Here is a 20161-nt window from a genome sequence, read left to right as displayed (position 1 = left end):
GATATTGGTTTTCACTTTTGCCAATGCAATTTACAAAAACTTGGATAAGTAGGAAGAATAATAAACACCATGACAAACAAAAAAAAGAGTAAAATTATGGGCAGTGAAGATGATGTATTTTTGGACAATGAGATGAGAGAAAAAAGGAAAAAGAAAGGAAAACATGGGGCATGGGAGAACACAGGAATGCAATAAGAGGAAGTATTGTGAAGAGGGATTGATAAGTAAATGTCACATTAAACTAGGTCTGAAAATCCAGACAAGTATATAAAGAGTAAATATTTATTGTTTATTTTTGTTTTTGTTGCTCTTAAGAGGGAAGAGAGATGTTGAGAATGCTGTCTTGTGTCTATTAATCTGGCAGCAAAGTGCTGGAGCAACTGCCTTCTTTATGAAAAAATCTTCCTCTTAGATGAGCCTTGGAATACAGTAGAGAAGTGTCCCAGTGGAAGTCAACATCAGACAATTCAAAATATTAGAACAGACATCCAATGAGAATTTAAGACTCTCAATTAAAAATAAGGCATTATCATCTTAGAAACAAGAGCTGAAGCTATTAAAATGGATTACCAAAAAGATGATCAAAGATAAAACACAGAAATACTTGTAGTTAGAGCCAGCATATGAGAAATACAAGCACTATGAAAAAGGAAAGAGAAATAGTTTAATATGCTGCTGTCAAAATGAAGGAGAGACGTTTAAGAGGCTAACCTGGTTAATTGTATCTGATGTCATTTGAATAAAGCCAAAAAGAATGAGGCTAAGTTGGTAATGAGAAAGCAGAAATTTGGGAGGTTTGTAGTTTCAGCAAAATTTTGAAAAATAAGACGAAATTATAAAGGATGAAAGAAACAATGGGTAATAAAGAAATGAGAGAGAATATGAATGATAATAACACACCAGAAACCCAAGATGAGTTACGGATTTCTTCACAAGGAACAGGGAGTTGCAATATAGCATGTCAGTGAAAAGCTATGGAATTAGACTGGCTCCGTTCAGGTTCCCAGGTTTAACTCTTCCACTTGCTGTTCATGTAATTTGTGGAATTTTTATATATCATTTCCTGTAAGCTTTATTTCATCTTCTGAAAAAATGACATAATTATGATGCCAACTTCATAAGGTTATGAGAATTTTTAAAATAACTCAGGGAAATAATATATTTCTTGGCAATTTATTGTAATTCAGTATTATTATTTGGTTAGGTTGTTTGTACTGGCAAAGGAGTCAAGATGAATGAAAATATGCTAGATGAGGGGTGGTCACGTTATAGGAACAAGGAGGTGGATGTTAGCCTTATATTGCATTGGACCTTCTCAATATTTTCAAACAGATCAAATTAAAATCGGTAGTTTTCATTGCTTCCTAATTCTCTGCATATAAAATCCTCTCCACTAATACATAAAGCTTGGAGATTTATGTTTTAGGATAAATGTAAGTTATCTACAGAAGAATCTTATCAAAGTGAGTAAATCTGGACTTGTCAATAGGGTGCAAATTGACATTATGCCACTCCATTGGTTTGACTCTAGTAGCTCACCAAGAACCTTACAAAACATTTCCTAAATTGCTGTGTCATTTTGCCATGCTTAGTCTGCACAGCAACCAGATTTATAATCAATTTTTTGTAGCGTAAACGTGAAAGAAGAGATAAAACGGTAAAGACAACTGAGAAGATGACTTTTCTCTCTAAATCCATAGCAGTTCGGGAGTCTCCAGTGGATTTAGGAATATCATAAAATTTGGCACAAAATATCTGACAATTATCTACGATGGTACTTGTCTTTATTTCTAATTTTATACTTAATGGTATAATGTGTCTAACTGAATTTTGAGTGTTTCATAGTTAGGCATATGGCTTTCCTAAACAGTTTGGCAATTGCTAGTTACCATGGAACCTACGAAAGAGGACTCCATTCCCATCTACGCAAGCTTTCAGTAACATGACACTATGCAAAACAAGGACTACCTACATTTAAGATTTTACATTGTGTAGGTAGGTGACTTAAATAAAAAGCTGTCTCAACATTTAAAGTATTCATGTTATATAGGCTTATCCCTTAAAAATTTCTTTGGAAAATGTTTTGAATTACAACGCAAAAAATGAGGAGCTTACAAATACATTGCCTATTTTTTTAGATGTGTAGGCAGGGCAGATATATGCTCTTGCACTGGACTGAAATACCCAGTGATTACCAATGTACAACAGATGGAAATGCTGAATGCTAAGTAACATATCCTCTTGATTACTGTACTTTAAAGTATGTGAGATTTATTATAAGCCTAATTCTAATTCAATGAATGCCATCAACAGATTGCATGATGGGTCATTTTCACCATGGGGTGTAAAAGAATTACTAAGAAAGTTGACAGGCAAAGCTTATTAGAAAACAATCATCTTGTAAATTTGATTAATGGCACTTGCGAATTCACATTTATTCAAAATAATGTTTTCTGTACATACGGTGACATGGGGAATCTTAGGCCACCCCCTGGGAAAACATAATGAAGATAAGCAGCTTTTCAAACCCAATTTTGATGCTTTGCAATTAAAAAAAAACAGTCTAAGTACTTGAATTAAAACAAATCTGTCACTGAAAAAGGCATTTTTTTTAATCCAATGGCAAGCCAGTGCACTTAGCCAGCTTATGGATCCAATACTCAACTGATCTTAGGAGTGAAGGCAGAGTTCATGACTGCCCTGCCATGGAGGCCTCACGGTTCCTGGGCAGCCCCTACATAGTCCCACTGCCCATTGAAATAAGCGTATCCTCTCCTGCCTATGGGTCAAGATGGAGGGGGAGGCTCAAAACCCTTCATCTATCAACACTGACCCCATATTCTGAGCTATGAAATTTTCATTGCCAAGTCTTCGCTATACGAGCAACAATCATGGGTGCTTAGATACTGGTTTCCCAGAAGAAACCAAGATCACTGATTACAATTAAGCAATTTGTGTCCACAATTAGGCCCCAGGTTATTTGATCAGAGAACGTAGGAGAGAGAAGGCAGCCTTCCGTCTTCAACTACAGTGATTTCATTACTTCAGGCTCTGGATCAGTGCTGTCAAGTAGACACACAATGCAAGCCACAAGTAGAATTTTAAGTTTCTAGTAACCGTATTAAAAAGTAAAAAGAAACAAGTGAAATTACTTTAACAGGAATGTTTTAGCCATATATATTTTATCTTTTATATGAATATGTATAATTCTTTTTTCATACTAAGTCTTCAAAGTCAGTATGTATTTTACATTTAGAGCACATCTCAATTCAATCTAGCCATAATTTAAGAGCTCCGTAGCAAGATATGGCCAATGGCTACCATTTGTACAGCACAAATGCTGATGGTATCTAATATCTAAGCTCCATTATTTAGTTTGTGTTATGTTTAATCAAAACCAGAGTAATTAGTAGTTAAAACCTTGGAAAACATATTGATAGGATACATTCCCTAAAAGAAAAAGTATGGAAATCTGAGTGTAACTTTGTGCAGATAATAAAAACCAAAACATGTCTATCCAAATCCAGATGTTTTGCCCAAACCATAATGCCAAAATTCATTTAGATGATTGATTGCAACTTTTACTTTTCATCAACAATAGCAATAAAATGATGCTCTGTAATTTATCTTGTTAATTTAGCATGGAAATCACAGCAGCTATTTTAGGCCCAGTCAAATTTTAGATACTGAATGGTGTGGATTATACATCAATACTGATGTAATTGTACAGAAGGATGCAATTTCCTTTTTTCCTTTATGATCAAAAGCTCTAAGTTTCTCTTTTAATTCTCAAAAATCTCCTTGTACTTCGTAATTTTGTGATTTACTTCTTGTCTCATTTTTCCTTGTCTACCAATCTTAAGATGAAATCTCAAAAATTGATTTCAGAAGACTTAGCTTTTTCTTTCTCTCATTCTATATAAGAGAAAACATGTAATATTCTTAATTTAGATAGGATTTATATATTTATAATACCAACTTTGATTATTATGTGTACTGTGTATACTTTAATTTGAAACAAGACTCAATAGCAAGGCAAAAAAATATTTTAAAAGTGCATTTTATTGATCTGTAGCTAATATTAGTTGTTTCTTATCTAAAGTAGGGCTTTACTCTTTTGCATTCTAACTTGGTTTTATCTTCAAATATTTTATGTCATAAACACCAAACACTTAAACCCAGAATCAGGATTTTAAACATATGTGCTCAACCCCTTTTCTATTCTACATTTGTAGTTCCACATAAAATTATTTCTACTTACTCTCTCTCCCAGTGGCAGTTCATGATCTTCAGTTTCTAACATTTAATACCAGGCTTTCCTCATCACTAAAAAGCCTGCCTGCCTTCTTCATTTAACATTGGTCAATTTGTATCTATCCTTCAAAGTCCCACATCAAATATTTCTTTGGAAATTATTTTTTTTCAGAGCACTGCAGCATAGAACTCTCTCCTACCTCTGACCTTTTCTAGTATTTACTAGAAGTATTTAGTAATTATTTTAATCAGGATTTTTAAAAAGCTGAATTAACAACAAAAAAATCTATAGAAACAAGAACAAAACAAGCAATGTTGCCTAACTTTCAACAATTGCAGCTGTTACTAGCAGGATGAAAGGCCACTCAGAGGATTGAGGGAAAGGGTGAATAACTGAGGGAGGAGAATAGGGTCTGAAGGCAGGGAACCTAAGCTCAATATTCACTGACTTCCTAGAATTGAATCAAAAAGAAAACCCCACCTCTCCATGTCCAAGTAACAAAAGGATCAGAGGTAACCCCCACTTTCAGCCTGAAGATTAAAAAATGGAGAGGACTTCTGATGGGTCACCTCCTGCAACCAGACCGGTGGTGGGCCACTCCTTCATTTACGTAGGGTGTAACCAACTAACAAATGGGAAGAGGGTATTTAAACCTCAGAAAATTCTGTAAGCAGTGCTCTTGAGCCGCTTGCTGGAGCCTACCACCACTCCATGGAGTGTACTTCCCTTTCAATAAACCTATGCTTTCATTGCTTCCTTCTTTTGTTGTTTTGTTTGGGCATTTTGTCCAATTCTTTGTTCAAAATGCCAAGAGCCTGGATGACCCATAGTCAAGACCCTCCACTGGTAACACAACCATCCTCAGACTAGATAGGAACATACAGCTATCAGAAGGGACCACTACGCAAGCTTATAGGTACCTTGACAGAGCTCATCATTTATGAATGTTTTAACCTTGTACCAATTTAGCCTCAATGTCCCAGGTGAGAGATACTATTGGCCAGGATCACCTGTCTGTCATTTGGCTGTCAACAGTATAAAAAGGGTATCTAACAAAAATATACTACCGAGACTCTAACGGAAAAACACAAGCACCTTGCTATTCCACCTTACCGAGGTAGAAAAGAGTGCTCCTCCTCGAGGAAACCAGGATGATATTAAAAAGGGTGAAAAAACAGATGACGAGTGGAAACACAAATAATGATCACAACTCAGTAGTTACCTATTTAATATATTGCACTGTTAGTTATCCTTAATGGTTGCTTAACTTTCTATACATAGGCTATTTTTCTCATTAAAGTGGAAATTTCTTAGGAATTTTATGCTTCTTAGTATCTTCTACAATGCCTTATATATAATAGGTTCCTAATGTATTCTTTCCATTCTTTTCCTTACTATGAACGTTAGCAAGTATTTTTACTCCAACGGAAAATGTTTCTAATTAACCTAAGTGTGGTAAACATGCACATGTTGACATGTATAAATGTATATGTTCATATTCACTCTTTTGCGTGTGTCAGTTTAGTTCAGTTCAGCAGATAGAGTATACTTTGTAAAAAATAGAGTACCTATTCTCTGAAAGCAATGTACTAAGCTGGGGCCAAAAGGATGAAAAAGATGTCCCTGCCCTCAGGTCCTGTGCTTTTATGTTTTCTGTTTTTAGAAAATAATTACTATAATAAATCATGGTCTAACAACGTGTATTTTTAAATGCTCTCAGTTTTGTTTCTAGAAATTCAGAATGCCTGAGGATTTGAAGGACATTTTTATTATAACAAAGGGGAAAAAAATTCTCATAAAAGCAGACAGCTAATGCTTACTTTAGTCTTCATAGCACAAAGAAAGCTGGCATTATTTTTCTTTCTAGAATTAGTTTTATGTATGTAGTTAACTATAAATATTATTTCTAATTATATTTTCAGAAATGAAAAGTTCACAAATAACGTCCAGCATGTAATTTCACTATATGTCACTGTTTTTTGATTTATGACCTTTCTGAAGCCAGTTTTAAAGAATTCTATATAATAACTATTTGCCTTTTTATTTAAATACATTTATTTATGTAACTAATGATGATTGAACACTCACTTGTAGAAGCTGTAACAGTAAGTATTTCTGGGACCAGAAACCTGAGGTATAACATAGTATGCCTTGAAGAGTTTCACTTTTCAACGGAAATGATAAATCATATCCACAAATGACTAATACCAGATAGTATCTAAAAATTTGTATGAGACAGTTAAGGAAACTCTATAAAGAGTTCATAGAACAGATTTCTGTGCACCCTGCTTAGAGAAGCTTTCCCAGGTGAAGTAACAGATGAGCTGGATTTAAAGGTTCCATTCTAGCTTTCTAGTCTCATCTACTGGTTATCCCCCTACTCCCTTCTTCTCTCGTCTAATTACGCATTAAAATTATGCCTTGCACTGTCTTTAACTCTTTGCTCTTATTAAGGTAAAACTCTAATATCCTTCTTATCATTTAGGGTTCAATTCATTCAAACTGGATTTATTGAGTTTGTAATATATTCCAAGCACTGTCCCATGGAACGTCACTTCCAAAAAAATGACCCAGTCTCTGCCCTCAATGAGTTCAGAAAAAAATATTGTAAAAACAATCACACAGCTCTAGGAGAGGTATACATGAGATTCCTTAACAGTGGAAGTGAGTTGTGGAAGGTTTACCTGAAATTGAAGTGGCTTAGATGGTGATAAGGGAAGGCCTTCACAGAGAAGGTGGAATGGATTAGAACCTTAAACATTGAGTATTCCTGGCAGACAATTGTAGTTTGAATAGCATTATAAAAAATAGCTAAGGAAGTATATAAATAGGCTGTATTCCACCACTGGTAGAGTAAGACTCAAATCCAATATTAAACTTTACCTGACCGGCGGTACATTCTAGCAGGAAAATAGGGATCACACGGAGGTAGTCAAAAAGAGAGCCAAGAAAACTCACCTGCTTATGTCACTGGAAATGTCTCTCTCTATTCTTATTTAAAAAGTTATGTTGCATGAAATTTTAGTTTGGCAATTGCTTTATTTTTGTTTTAATTCTGACCAGACTCTAACACATTATGTATTGTGGACTATGTTTCCATAAGGCTTTTAAAATATGGTCATCTAAAACATAATAAATCCATGTCATTTGATTTTTTAAAATTTGCAGATCACTGCTCATACTATCATTCTATTGATACTGACAACCGTCATTAAGTCAAATGTTTCTAATTTCCAATTTTAAAAAATAAATGCTAGAGTTTAGTACTTACAGAAGTAGACCTGGCTAAAAATTAAGAGATCATAAATCTGTCACTGACAAGAAATTACCTATAAATCACAAGTTGTTAATGCAAGATTTTCTCCAATAATTTGTTAGCTAAAGTATAAAAGACTCAGCATTTTCTCCGGAGTTTCAAGAAAAGAATGCACAATACAATAGCAATAGCACTGGGTTATTCAGGTCACTGAGAAAGGGGTTAACTAGTTGACTGTTTTAATCAATATTGCCTACATATTCAAAATCCACTGTCCAACTGCAAATTATCTACTCTTTTTACTGTAAAATGTTAACTATGGTCAAATAACATGAGTACAACTTCATTTGACCACTTATTTTTATTTGTTTTTTTTTTTTTTTTAGAAATGAAGCTTCGTACACTTATTTCTCAAACACCTTAAGGAAAAATTTCAACTTCAAATAAAGACCTACTGCTAGTACCAACTTATTAAAAGCAGGTGTTTTCTAAATCTTAACAAATGGCAATAACAATTCAATGTTTAAGCACTGCTAATGCATTCTAATAGTAAAATAATATTTTAGATCATTAAATTAGAATTTAATAAAGTTTATTTTAATCACGAGCTATTGAAGCAAAATAGCAAAGCAACTTCATAGTGATATTACATATTGATGGGCTTCAAAGTGCTGCTGAATCTAATCTTTCTCCTTCACTTCTGGATTCACCATACTTGTAGTAATTGATATTGCAGAAATAATTATTCCTCCTGGTATCTTTTATCACATTCCAAACTTACTTACCCTCCCCAGTGCTGGAACTGGTACTGTCAGAGCTCCTAAACCTTGCCATTGTAGCAAAAAGTTAGGGCTAAATGTATGTAGCCAGGGGGACAAATGTGGCGGTGCCATGAAGAAAACAGGTACAATCATAAAACTATGTCTATTGCTGTGCAACAAATTACCCCAAAACTTAGAGCTTGAAAGAATAATTATCTGTCTGCTTCAGTTGGTCACAAGATACAGTGGGACAGTTTGTCTCTGTTCCACAATGTCTGGGACATGGCTGAGAGACTTAAAATCCAGGCCTAGAAACATTTGAAACCTCATTCACTCATATGTCTGACCATGGATGCTGACGGTCAGTTAGGGGACTAGCTGGGACTCTCAGCAAGACACAATGGCCTTTCCGTTTTATTAGCAAGTCTTTCAAGGAAAAGAGAAACCACATCGCCACTCATGGTCAGACCTCAGAAGTCATGCAACACCCCTCTACCACTTTTTATTGGTCAAAGAGGTCACAAAAGTACGCCCAGTTTTGGGAAGAGGGAACATAGATTGTACTTCTCAATAGAGGTATATTACCATTACATTTTAAGTATATAGGATGATTTTCATATGTATACATGGGTATAGTCATCTTTGGAAAATACAATCTTTCATAAGAAGTACTAGAAGTAGAAAATCATGCTGGTGGAATTCTGAATTTGAAACTTGAAATTTTTTCCAGTCACCTGGGAAATTAAAATTAGTAGTAACATTAATTTCAGTACTATTATCCTCTGTGCCCTGTATGTCATATGAAGCATAGTAATGCTAATATGTTACTTACAAGCTTTTTTAGATGGCTTGAGATCAGCTACCATGTGTAACATTGTTTCTCTCTCTCTCTCTCTATACACACACACACACACACACACATATACACACATACATATATGGCTTTCTATACTACTAGCAAACTCAGAAACACAATCTGAACTTGTAGTTCAATACAATCCTATAAGAGCATTGTCCTATTTGCTCTCCTCCTTTAGTTTCCCACCTATCTCCTGCCCCGCAAGAACTACACTTAGTCATGGATGAAGGTTTAATGTGGTTTTACTTGAGACTTGCATCAGTGAATCTCATATTTTCAAACTATGCATTCCAACAGAACATTAGGACATTATTCAGCATATAATCACCGAAAAGCATGAGAAACTACTGTTAAAAACTGCTGAGTTTTAAAGGCTAGTTATTGTTGGAATATGATGTGGTCACCATGAGACCTATAAACTACCTATCTTGTCCTGGCTAAAGTAGCATGTTCTAGATTAGTGAGAACTGAAAATGAAACTTTATCTGGAGTAATGTTCATCATATTTGTCCTCAGTCTGTCATACTAGGGCATCACAGGCAAATATGCATCAGCATATACTTGGGTAAATCCTTTTATAGTTCTGTTCTGACCATTATTTTAAAAGTATCATATCTTCTTGTATTAAAGATAATTATATGGGTCAGTACAATAATTTGTTAGAATCAGTTCTCTCTGTGAAAGTGTTCTATGACCTATTGTTTATAACGGCTTAATAGGTCTCCAGATGTTATAATATTACTCAATATTTTGTCTTTAAAGATCACTATGTATAGATGTATAAGTAAATGGTTCAAAGTAGTTATAACTATCAGTTTCAATAAAAAGAAATGCTGTCAGGGACTTATCTTCACAATGCAAACAACTATTAAATTTGCCTTCTATGTTAAATCATAAATCCATTCCCACCAGTTAACAATTGAGTGGAATATATCAAGACTATTTCCATTTGACTCAAGTTTATGTATGTGTATATTAGTAATTTTGTTAATAGTTCAATTCTTATTAGATATAAAATATACAATATTTATTAATAACTTAGGAATCATATCAAACAGAATATAAAGGTAGAAATATAAAATTTTGGCCAGGAACAGTGGCTCACACCTGTAATCCCAGCACTTTGGGATGCCTAGATGGGCGGATCACGAGGTCAGGAGATCGAGACCATCCTGACTAACATGGTGAAACCCCCATCTCTATTAAAAATACAAAAAATTAGCCACGCACATGCCTGTAGTCCCAGCTACTCAGGAGGCTGAGGGTGGAGAATTGCTTGAACCCAGGAGGCGGAGGTTGCAGTGAGCCGAGATTGTGCCACAGCTCTCCAGCCTGGGTGACAAAGTGAGATTCTGTCTCAAAATTTTTATATATATATACATATAATTTATATATATACATGTAATTTATATATATACATGTAATTTATATATATACATATAATTTATATATACACATATAATTTATATATATATATAATTTCTTACTGTATGCATAAAACAGTTTGGTTTTGTTTTACCATAATTCAAACTCCAGCTTTATCAAGCTATCATACCTTTTTTTAATAAATATATAAAGAGGTTCCTCATGTTTGGAGTTAGTGGAAGGAGTGAGAAAATTATCTTCCTTTTTACAGGCCACATTGTAAAATGGAAGAATATGGGATTGGACAACCTTGGGAATGTGACCAGTGAAATCAAAATTTTCCTGGATCTGCAGATAACTTATCCGACTGCTTCTAATGATTCTGCCAATTTAAAACTTTAGAAGGAATTAGAAACCTAGACATAGTCTTAGAAATTGATAAAAGCAATGTTAGGGGCATGAGACAAAATGTATTAAACTAAACATCCAGGAAGATTCAGAAAATCCAATTTAACCAATATTTATCAAACTAGCTTCATGCATAGCATACAATACTACCTATAAAAATAAAATTGGTCCAGGATTTGCCAATTAAGACATTTTAGAAAACTCTTATTTAAACTAGGCTTCTATCTTAACAGTAGAAGCCTCAATTTATAGTCTCTTTTTAAATACTACAATTATAGGTTAGCATTTGTGTATTAGTCCATTCTCATGCTGCTAATAAAGACATACCCAAGACTGGGTAATTTATACAGGAAAGAGGTTTAATTGACTCACAGTTCAGCATGGCTGGGGAGGCCTCAGGAAACTTACAATCATGGCAGAAGGGGAAGCAAAGATGTCCTTCATATGGGGGCAGCAAGGAGAAGTGCCAAGCAAAAGGGGGGAAAGCCCCTCAAAAAAACCACCAGATCTCATGAGAACTCACTATCACAAAAGCACCATAAGGGTAACTGCTCGCATGATTCAGTTACCTCCCACCAGGTCCCTCTCATGACATGTGGGGATTATGGGAACTAAAATTCAATATGAGATTTGGGTGGGGACACAGCCAAACCATATCAACTTGATAAAAGCAAACATTGGTATTTGTTTTTAGTTTCCATTCTGTGACCAATTGAAAGATTTCCATTTTCAATTTTTAATAAAATATGCAGGAATATAAATATTCTGTATTCACACTGAAGTTGAAAATGGCCAGTCATAAACTCCATGGCCAACTTCAGGTGTCTTAAAGTCAACCATGTCAACAATCACATTAAGTGTAAGTGACAAACACTATAGTTAAAAGGTAGAAAAACCATCAGATTGGATAAAAAATACAGTTTTATCTTTTTACTGCTTAAAGGGAATGAAACTTTAACACTGATATCTAAGTGGGTAGAATAACAATGATACACCATGCTAAACTAATCAAAATAAAGTGGCTGTAACTGCAAGACACTAGACAAAGTAAATTACAGAACAAAGAATATCACCAAAGACCAAAAAAAATTCTTTTTGCAATGATAAAGAGATCAGTTCGTTGAGAGGACATTAAGATCTTAAACTCTATGTATGCAGTAATGGAGCTTCAAAGTACATGAAGCAAAAACTCAATAGACCTGCAAGGGGAAATACATATCTACTGTTACAGTTAAAGATTTCAATAGCACTCTTTCAAAACTTGATAGAACAAATATATAATTCCATAAACGTATGGAAGTCTTGAACACTACCAACCAAATCAAAGAAATTGACAGTTTTGAAAGCAGGATCTCAAAGATATTAGCTCACCCATGTTTATAACAGCATTATCACAATGGCCAAGAGGTGAAGCAAACCAGATGTCCACTGATGGAGGAATGGATGAATGAAATATGGTATAAACATACAATGGATTATTCAACCTTAAAAGGGAAGGAAATCTTGTTACATGCTACAACGTGAATGAACCTTGAGGACATTATGCTAAGTGCAATAAGCCAGCCACAAAAAGACAAATACGGTATGATTCCATTTACTTGAGGTATCTAGAGTAGTCAAACTAATAGAAATAGAAAATAAAATAGTGGTTGCCAGGGCCTTGCGGGGGGTGGGGAAGAGAATGGGAAGTTGTTCAACAGGTATAGGATTTCATTTTACAAGATGAAAAAGTTCTGGAGATCTGTTTCACAACAATGTGAATATACTTAACACTATTATCTGTACACTTAAAAATGGTTACAATGGTAAAAAGAAAAAAATGACAATTTTAGAATCCAATTAACAGCAGATTACACCAATTCTTTAAGAGTACATGGAACACTTACTGAGATATAGAACATCTAGGGCCATAACACAAGCCAACAGATTTAAAATAACTCAATTAGTGCAAAGTATGTTCTCTGACAATTGAATTACAAGTCATTAATAGAAAAGTTCTCATGAAAATTCCTAATTAAATATTAAAACACCACACTTCTAAGTAATATGTGGATCAAAGCAGCTATCAAATTGGAAGTTAGAAATTTTACTGAATGCCAATGAAAGCACAAAATGTCAGAACAACTAGAATGTCACTAGATGTAAGTGTATAGGCATAAATTTGAAGAAGCCATATTAGAAAAAAGTACTCAAATTTATGACCACATGTGCTATTTTAAGAAGTCAGAAAAAAAACAAGCCCAATAAAGCAAAGGAAAGGAAATATTAATGATCAGAACAGAAATACATGATAGAAAAAGAAAAATTGGGGGGAAAAACAACAACAAAAATCAATGTACCTGAAAACTGTCTCTAGAGAGGAAAAAAAATCTGATAAAACTTGAGTCAGATTTGCCAGGAAGAAAAGGTAGGGAGGAATAAGATCCGAATTAACTATACCAAGAATAAAAAATAACAGTAGTTCATATTCTATGTATTAACAGAATTTTAAGGTAATCATATGAAAAATGTATGCCAAAATATTCAACAACTCCAATATAATGTGAATGACAAATTACTTCAAAAACAAAAATAATTGATAAAAGTCTCATATTAATTTTAAAAAGGGAATTTAAAGCTTTCCCACAAGGAAAATTATATGCTCATATTAAATACTTCATTGAACTCTGCCAAACATAAATGGAAGAGGACAGAATGCTTCCCAGCACGTTCCGTAAGGCCAGAATTACTCTGATGCCAAAAGCAGACATTTCCAGAAAAACTACAAACAAGTACTCCCAATGAACATAAATGTAAAGTTTCAAACAAAATTTTAATATATAAGAATCTGAAAATATATATGATGTTTGATTTTACGTTTGAAGAGAAATCAGTATTATTCACCATATTAACAAACTGAAAAGAAAAACTATATGATAACCTTAAACTCAGAAAAAACATTTGAAAAAATCCAACATTTAGTCCTGATAAAAACTTTCAACAAAGTAAGAATAAAAGGGAAATTATTCGATATTATAAAGGACATCTACAATAAACCAACATCTACCATCGTAATTAATGGTGAGAGACAGCGTGCTTTCATCCTAAAACGAGCAAGCAGATAGAAATGTCTTCTCTCGCTGCTTCTATTTAACATTGAACTGGACATTTTAGCCAGTGCAAAAAGTCATCAAAAAATAAAAAGACATACACATAGAAAAGGAAGAAATAAAACTCTCTTCATTCACAGATGACACTTGTGACTTTGTAGAAAACCTGATGCAATCTACAAAAAGCTATCAAAATTAATAACTAATTTAGTAAGGTGGAAAGATAAAAACAAATCAAATATCTCCACATACTAGCAGTGGACACAACTGACAATTTAAGAAACATTTAGATTGCATCAAAAATGAGATTCTTACAAATAAATCTGACAAAAGATATACAAGACATGCACTAAAAATAAAACATTGCTGAGAGAAATTAAAGAATACTTAAAGGGAGAGATGTGCCATTTTTATAATTCTGATGACTCAATTTTCTTAAGATGTAAATTTCCCCAGAGGGGACCTAAAGATTCAACACAATTTCAATAAAAATAAAAATCTCAACAGAATTTTTGTAGAAATTGACAAGGTGATTCTATAATTCATATGAAAACCAAAGGAACTAGAATAGTCAAAATAATTTTAAAAGAGAACAAAATTATAGGATATTGATTGCAACACTTAAAAAGTTACAGTAATTGTATTAGTCAATTTTTACACTGTTATAAAGAACTGCCCGAAACTGGGTAATTTATAAAGGAAAGAGGTTTAATTGACTCACAGTTCTGCATGGCTGGGGAGGCCTCAGGAAACTTGCAGTCATGGTAGAAGGCAAACCAGAAGAAAGGCACCTTTTTCACAGTGTGGCAGGAAGCAGAATGAACTCGGGAGGAACTAACAAACACAAAACCATCAGATCTCGTGAGAACTCACTCACCATCAAGAGGACAGCATTGAGAAAACCACCCCCATGATTCAATTACCTCCACCTGGTCTCTGCCTTGACAGGTGGGGCTCATGGGGATTACGGTGATTACAATTCAAGATGAGAGTTTGGGTGAGGACACAGCCAAACCACATCAGTAATCAAGACTGATTTAATTGGCATCAACATAGAAAAGTACATCAATAAAACAGAATAGGGGGCCCAGAAATTGACCCACAAATACAATTTTTGTCAAAGCAATTCAGTGGTAGGAGGATTGTGTTCAATGAACAGCACTAGGAAAATGGTAAGTCCATATGGAGAAAAAAATGAACTTTGTTCTATATCATGTAAAATATACGAAAAGTTGCTCAAGAAATGTGGGAAATATTTGTGAAAATTGGTTTACAGAGGTTTGTTAAAAATATGAGTCTAAAACATAATCAAATAAGGAATATATGGTTAACTTAGCTACATTCAATTTTTAAATTTTTTTGATCCTCAGAATACACTGCTAAACAGGTAAAAAAGGCAAACCACAGCCTAGCAGAAAATTGAGGCAAATCATTAACAAAGGACTTGTATCTAAAAAAATATAAAGCATGCTCAGACCAATAATTTTTTAAAAAACAACTCAATATAAAAGTCGACAGACTATTTGAACAGATATTTCACCCAAGAAAACATACAAATGGCAAATAAATACATAGAAAAGATGCTTAACATATTAATCATTAGGCTAATGCAAATTAAATCCACAATGCTATATCAATAAACATCTATTAGATTGTCTAATTTTAAAAGACTGACAATACCAAGTGCTGTCAAGAACACAGAACAACTGAAACTGAAAGATTGGTGGCAGCAATGTAAACAACTACAACCATTTTGTAAGACAACGTAAGCTTCTTAAATTTAAACATCTACCTATCATATGATGGAGACATTCTACTCCTAGGTATTTACCCAAGAGGAAAAAAAGCATGCATCCATATACAAATTGGTATACACATGGCCATAGCAGATTTATATGTAATAATCAGAAACAGGAAACAACACAACTGCCCATCATTAAATGGATTAACAAATTTTAGTATATACCTATCATGGAAGACTGCTTAATAGTGAGAAATATTGAACTATTGAAACACAAGAGCATGTATGAATTGCAAAATAATTATGCTAACTGAAAGAAGCCATACTTCGTGGCTTGATTTATGCAAATGTTGAGAAAACACAACTAATCTATAGAGAAAGAAGCAGATCAGTGGTAGCCCTGGACATGGGTGGGGGAAGAAAAGATATAAGAAAGGGGCACGGGAAATCTTTGGGGATTATGGATGTACTCACTCTTGATTATGGTGATGGTTTTATGGGTGTATACACGTATCAAATCTTATCACTTTATATGCCTTAAGTACATGCAGCTTATTTTATGTCAGTTATATTTTATAACTAATGAAAATACATAAACTCATAGGCCATTGTTTAAGATATTTGTTAAAATTTGTAACATACTGAAGATGAACAGTAGGAAGGGATGCAAATACCAATGACCAATATTCTCTCTAGTTATATTAGATAAAATAAATATTTTATCAGTTTCATTAGGAGCTAAAAAACAGAAAAACAAATCTACACCTTTGAAAGGGATTACATGTTTGAGTCTAAGTTAGTATTTTGTTTGATTTTCAAATTGAAGGTAAAACAAAACGGGCTTTTGGAAATATCCAAAATTGTTTAAACTTATTAAGTGACCACGAAGGTTCGATGACAATGCATACAATCGGGAGAAAGGAGATGTTAGTGGGGTGAAAAAGGATCTGCAATTATAATAATCTAAAATTTTGAGTATTTTCCAAAAGTTATATTTACAAGCCATGAACTCTATAAATATATGGCAATCAAATTCAGTGACTTTGAAAGAACCGAGGGAACTTGTTTGGATCCAAGAGGATCTAGAGTCTAAAAAATTGATTGAATCTTGCATAGAATTTTTTCAAACAAGAAATTTGGAGTTTAAAGAAATTGGATTTATTGTCTACAATTATAACTGATAGTAACTACTGGCAGAAGCAAGCTACAACCCATTCCCTTTATCCAATGCCATTTGCAGTGTATTAACAGTTCAGCGGACGTTAAAGAATCTGTTAAAAGCTCAAAGGCAGGGAGAAGAATCCGTTGATCCTAGAGCTCTCAAAGAATGACAACTTGGTAAAGCTACTCACCAAATAGCAAATAAAATGAGATGACATATGAAGTTTAGGTTTTGGACATTTTTGGTTCTGGGAGTACCAGAGGAAGAGTAAACTCACTCATTTGCTCTCCTGCTAGTAACTGCACACCTGTTTTCTTTGACAATTTATCTCTTCTCTCCTAATTATCTGTGTAATTTGGCTGGAACTGACGCAACTCTCTGGCATCAAGCATGGTGCTAGACTTGGCAATGGGATTAGCATATTCTCTTAGCTTTTTGTTGTTGTTTTGGGTTGACAACCTGGCTCAGAACCAAGGGCCAATCATCAGAATCACGTTGTATTAACTCTAGTCACTCTTATCAGAATTTTTGGGTAAGAAGGCTTCACACCCCTTTCCCACTGTGGCAGATAAACTATGCAACCAAATCTGAGCCGCTAGTAATATTCCTTGACTTTTTTTTTTTTTTTTTTAGATGGAGTCTTGCTCTGTCACCAGGCTGGAGTGCAGTGGTGCCATCTCAGCTCACTGCAGCCTCCACCTCCCTAGTTCAAGCTATTCTCCTGCCTCAGCCTCCCGAGTAGCTGGGATTACAGGCACTCACAACCACACCCAGCTAATTTATGTATTTTTAGTAGAGACAGGATTTCACCATGTTGGCCAGGATGGTCTTGATCTCCTGACCTCGTGATCCGCCTGCCTCGGCCTCCCAAAGTGCCGGGATTACAGGCGTGAGCCACCACTCGTGGCCGTAATATTCCTTGACTTTATAGAGGGAGTCCATCTACAGAGGGAGAAAATAAACCTAAACTACAGAGGAAATACTAGAAATGGAGAGAAAACGCACCCTTATGAAAATATTTGAGTCTCCTAAATTTATCCAACTTGATCTGAGTTTCTGACATTAACAACCAAAATAATAGACTAAAACAAAGTGTTTATAATATTTTCAAACGTTGTATTAAGCTTCACATCTAATATTTTATTTCCCAAATCGCCTAGAATAAGGATGGGAGTTATATTTACTAAATATTCTACTACTTAGAGATCCGAGTTTCAAGAAAAGAACGAATTATACTTTAAAAGGCAGATGTCAATTAAGTCCACTTCATCTTGACATACTTTAATTAGAAATCTTCGGCTCGTGATGACGTAAGGGAAATTTCTGAGTTTGAAGAGTGCTCATGAGAGCATCTGTTAGGTCTAGGGTGAGGTTCCAGCCCATGCTGAGGTCCGAGGGGAGTGGGTGGATGAACGCCAGATAGCTTCAAGAACACTCACGGGCCATAGGCAGGTGAATACGGTTTCTTCAGCAGCTTACTTCCATTAGCTCTCTCACACTCTGCTCTGTCTCGGCTGCTTGAGCCGGCCATTTCCACGCACAGCTGCGCGGCCAGCTCTCCCTTTTCTTCCGGGTCAGAAGCTTAACTCTTTCCTGGTTCCTGGCTTCCCCCTGCCCGCCTTCAAGACGGACAGCTTTGGCTCGCTCTCTCGTTCTCTGGGCACCAGCGCCATGTTGAGCCATGTTATGCCAAGCCGAGCCAAGCCACGCCCAAGAGCCCCTGCACAGCATCAGCAGGGCAGTTATACCTTTTACAAACAATAGGGGCATAGAGCCAAGTATGAGCTTACAGAAACAGGTTATATAACAAGTAGAGGTGTGTGCCTGTGCACCAGTCCCGCTGAGTCATGCAGGCCGGGATGTCTGCCTCGGCCCATTCCTTGACCAAAGCACATCCGTGTAGCTTACAGCATTCACAGCCTCAGCTGAAAGCTCTGGTTTCTAGCTTCCTTTAAAAAAAAAAAAAAATACTGGGAGTTTTCTTATACAAGTCTCCTAAATGTTTTGTGGTGTATAAGCCAAGCTTCTAGGTAGCTTATCTACCATATTACTAGAAACAGTTCTATGTTCAGCTTTTTACATTTTCTTTGATAATCACATAGATATTTTTAACTCTTAAATTTCCTTTAAGTTGAATATGGTTATTTCAAGTGACTATTATTGCCTGGTAAAAGTTATAGTACATAATACAAAGCTAAACAGTGATTATTGTAACTATTGGCGATTATGAATGGTATGGGGATTTGTCCCAGTGAGATTGTGGCACTTGCTGAATGTACCAAAACACATCATGCCATAACATTATGAATGTTATTTTATTCAACTCAAAAATAAAATATAAGCTCTGGATACAAGTGACTATGGAAAGTGGAATAAAAAACGAAATTCTCTGAACATTCTGGATATATTTGCCTTCTCTTTCCAATTGCCAAAATAAGTCTCGTCTAATCAGTTAATGATAAATTGATCCCTCATTGTCTGTTGGCACTGAGAGCATTCTCCTAAGTATAAGCTAGTATCTCCTTGAAATATGTTCATCACCACAATTAAAATGTAAAATAGACTCACTTTTTAAATGAGGATAATCACCGCCACTTTCACTATACTACCCTGTCCATATCAAGAATATTGCTACTTTTGAGTTATCACTCCCAGATGTTCCAAACGAAGTTTGCTGCAGAGAAAAATTATGAAAAATTCAATCATAGACCTAATTTCTTAAGAAAAATAACAGATTATAGATAACAATTGAATTAGGCCATTAGCAGCTAATAGAGTGATGGTAGAATCAGATAATCTACATTAGTAATAGACAAAAATCATCAACTGAAATCAGGGACGGCAGGATTGATAAGTGACACAGTGTGTGTGTGATTCTGGAGTATGCACAGCGTAGGACTTGGTCAAACAAACAAATGAAAACAGAGGAAGAGAGGTAACCATGAAGGAAAGAATCTTCATAAGGCCTGTATCTCTATAATAACAAGAGGCGTTCTGTCAAGGACACCTCGCAATGAAGAATTATGTCCGTTCTACCAGCAGTCAGAACTATTAGAACTTTTAACCTGGCTTAGATGTTTTAAACATTAAATTTTCACAAGGAAGCCTGAAAATTAAAAACAGATCTGTATTCACCTAGTCCCAGACAGCAGTATTCTCTTCTATTTTCTGAAGGGTTTGTCCCAGTGAGATTTTGGCACTTGCTGAAATCTGCCACTCACTGAAAACTGCTGCTAAAATATATATAAAGCAAGCACTGAAATCT

At 34.9% G+C, this 20161-nt stretch overlaps 1 long non-coding RNA gene across 1 annotated transcript in view, besides 1 other annotated feature; it reads right to left on the bottom strand.

Annotated features, from left to right (window-relative positions):
- Positions 1–18437, bottom strand: part of LINC01098 (long intergenic non-protein coding RNA 1098) — a 261994-nt gene extending 243557 nt beyond the window's left edge. The window contains 2 exon segments of the long non-coding RNA NR_028342.1: positions 14715–14827; positions 18177–18437. This is a non-coding gene — a long non-coding RNA (long intergenic non-protein coding RNA 1098).
- Positions 18111–19310: an enhancer, noted in NCBI's record as "MED14-independent group 3 enhancer chr4:178649038-178650237 (GRCh37/hg19 assembly coordinates)". NCBI's record gives its function as "activates an origin of replication core promoter dependent on BRD2, BRD4, P300/CBP and CDK7 cofactors, and independent of MED14, by STARR-seq in HCT116 cells {active_cell/tissue: HCT116}" and the evidence as "EXISTENCE:reporter gene assay evidence [ECO:0000049][PMID:35650434]".

Source organism: Homo sapiens, chromosome 4 (assembly GCF_000001405.40).
Source record: "Homo sapiens chromosome 4, GRCh38.p14 Primary Assembly".
In the NCBI taxonomy this organism is placed as follows: Eukaryota; Metazoa; Chordata; class Mammalia; order Primates; family Hominidae; genus Homo; species Homo sapiens.
The sequence above is the reverse complement of the archived record's forward strand: the minus strand, read 5'-3'. Positions and strand labels throughout refer to the sequence as shown.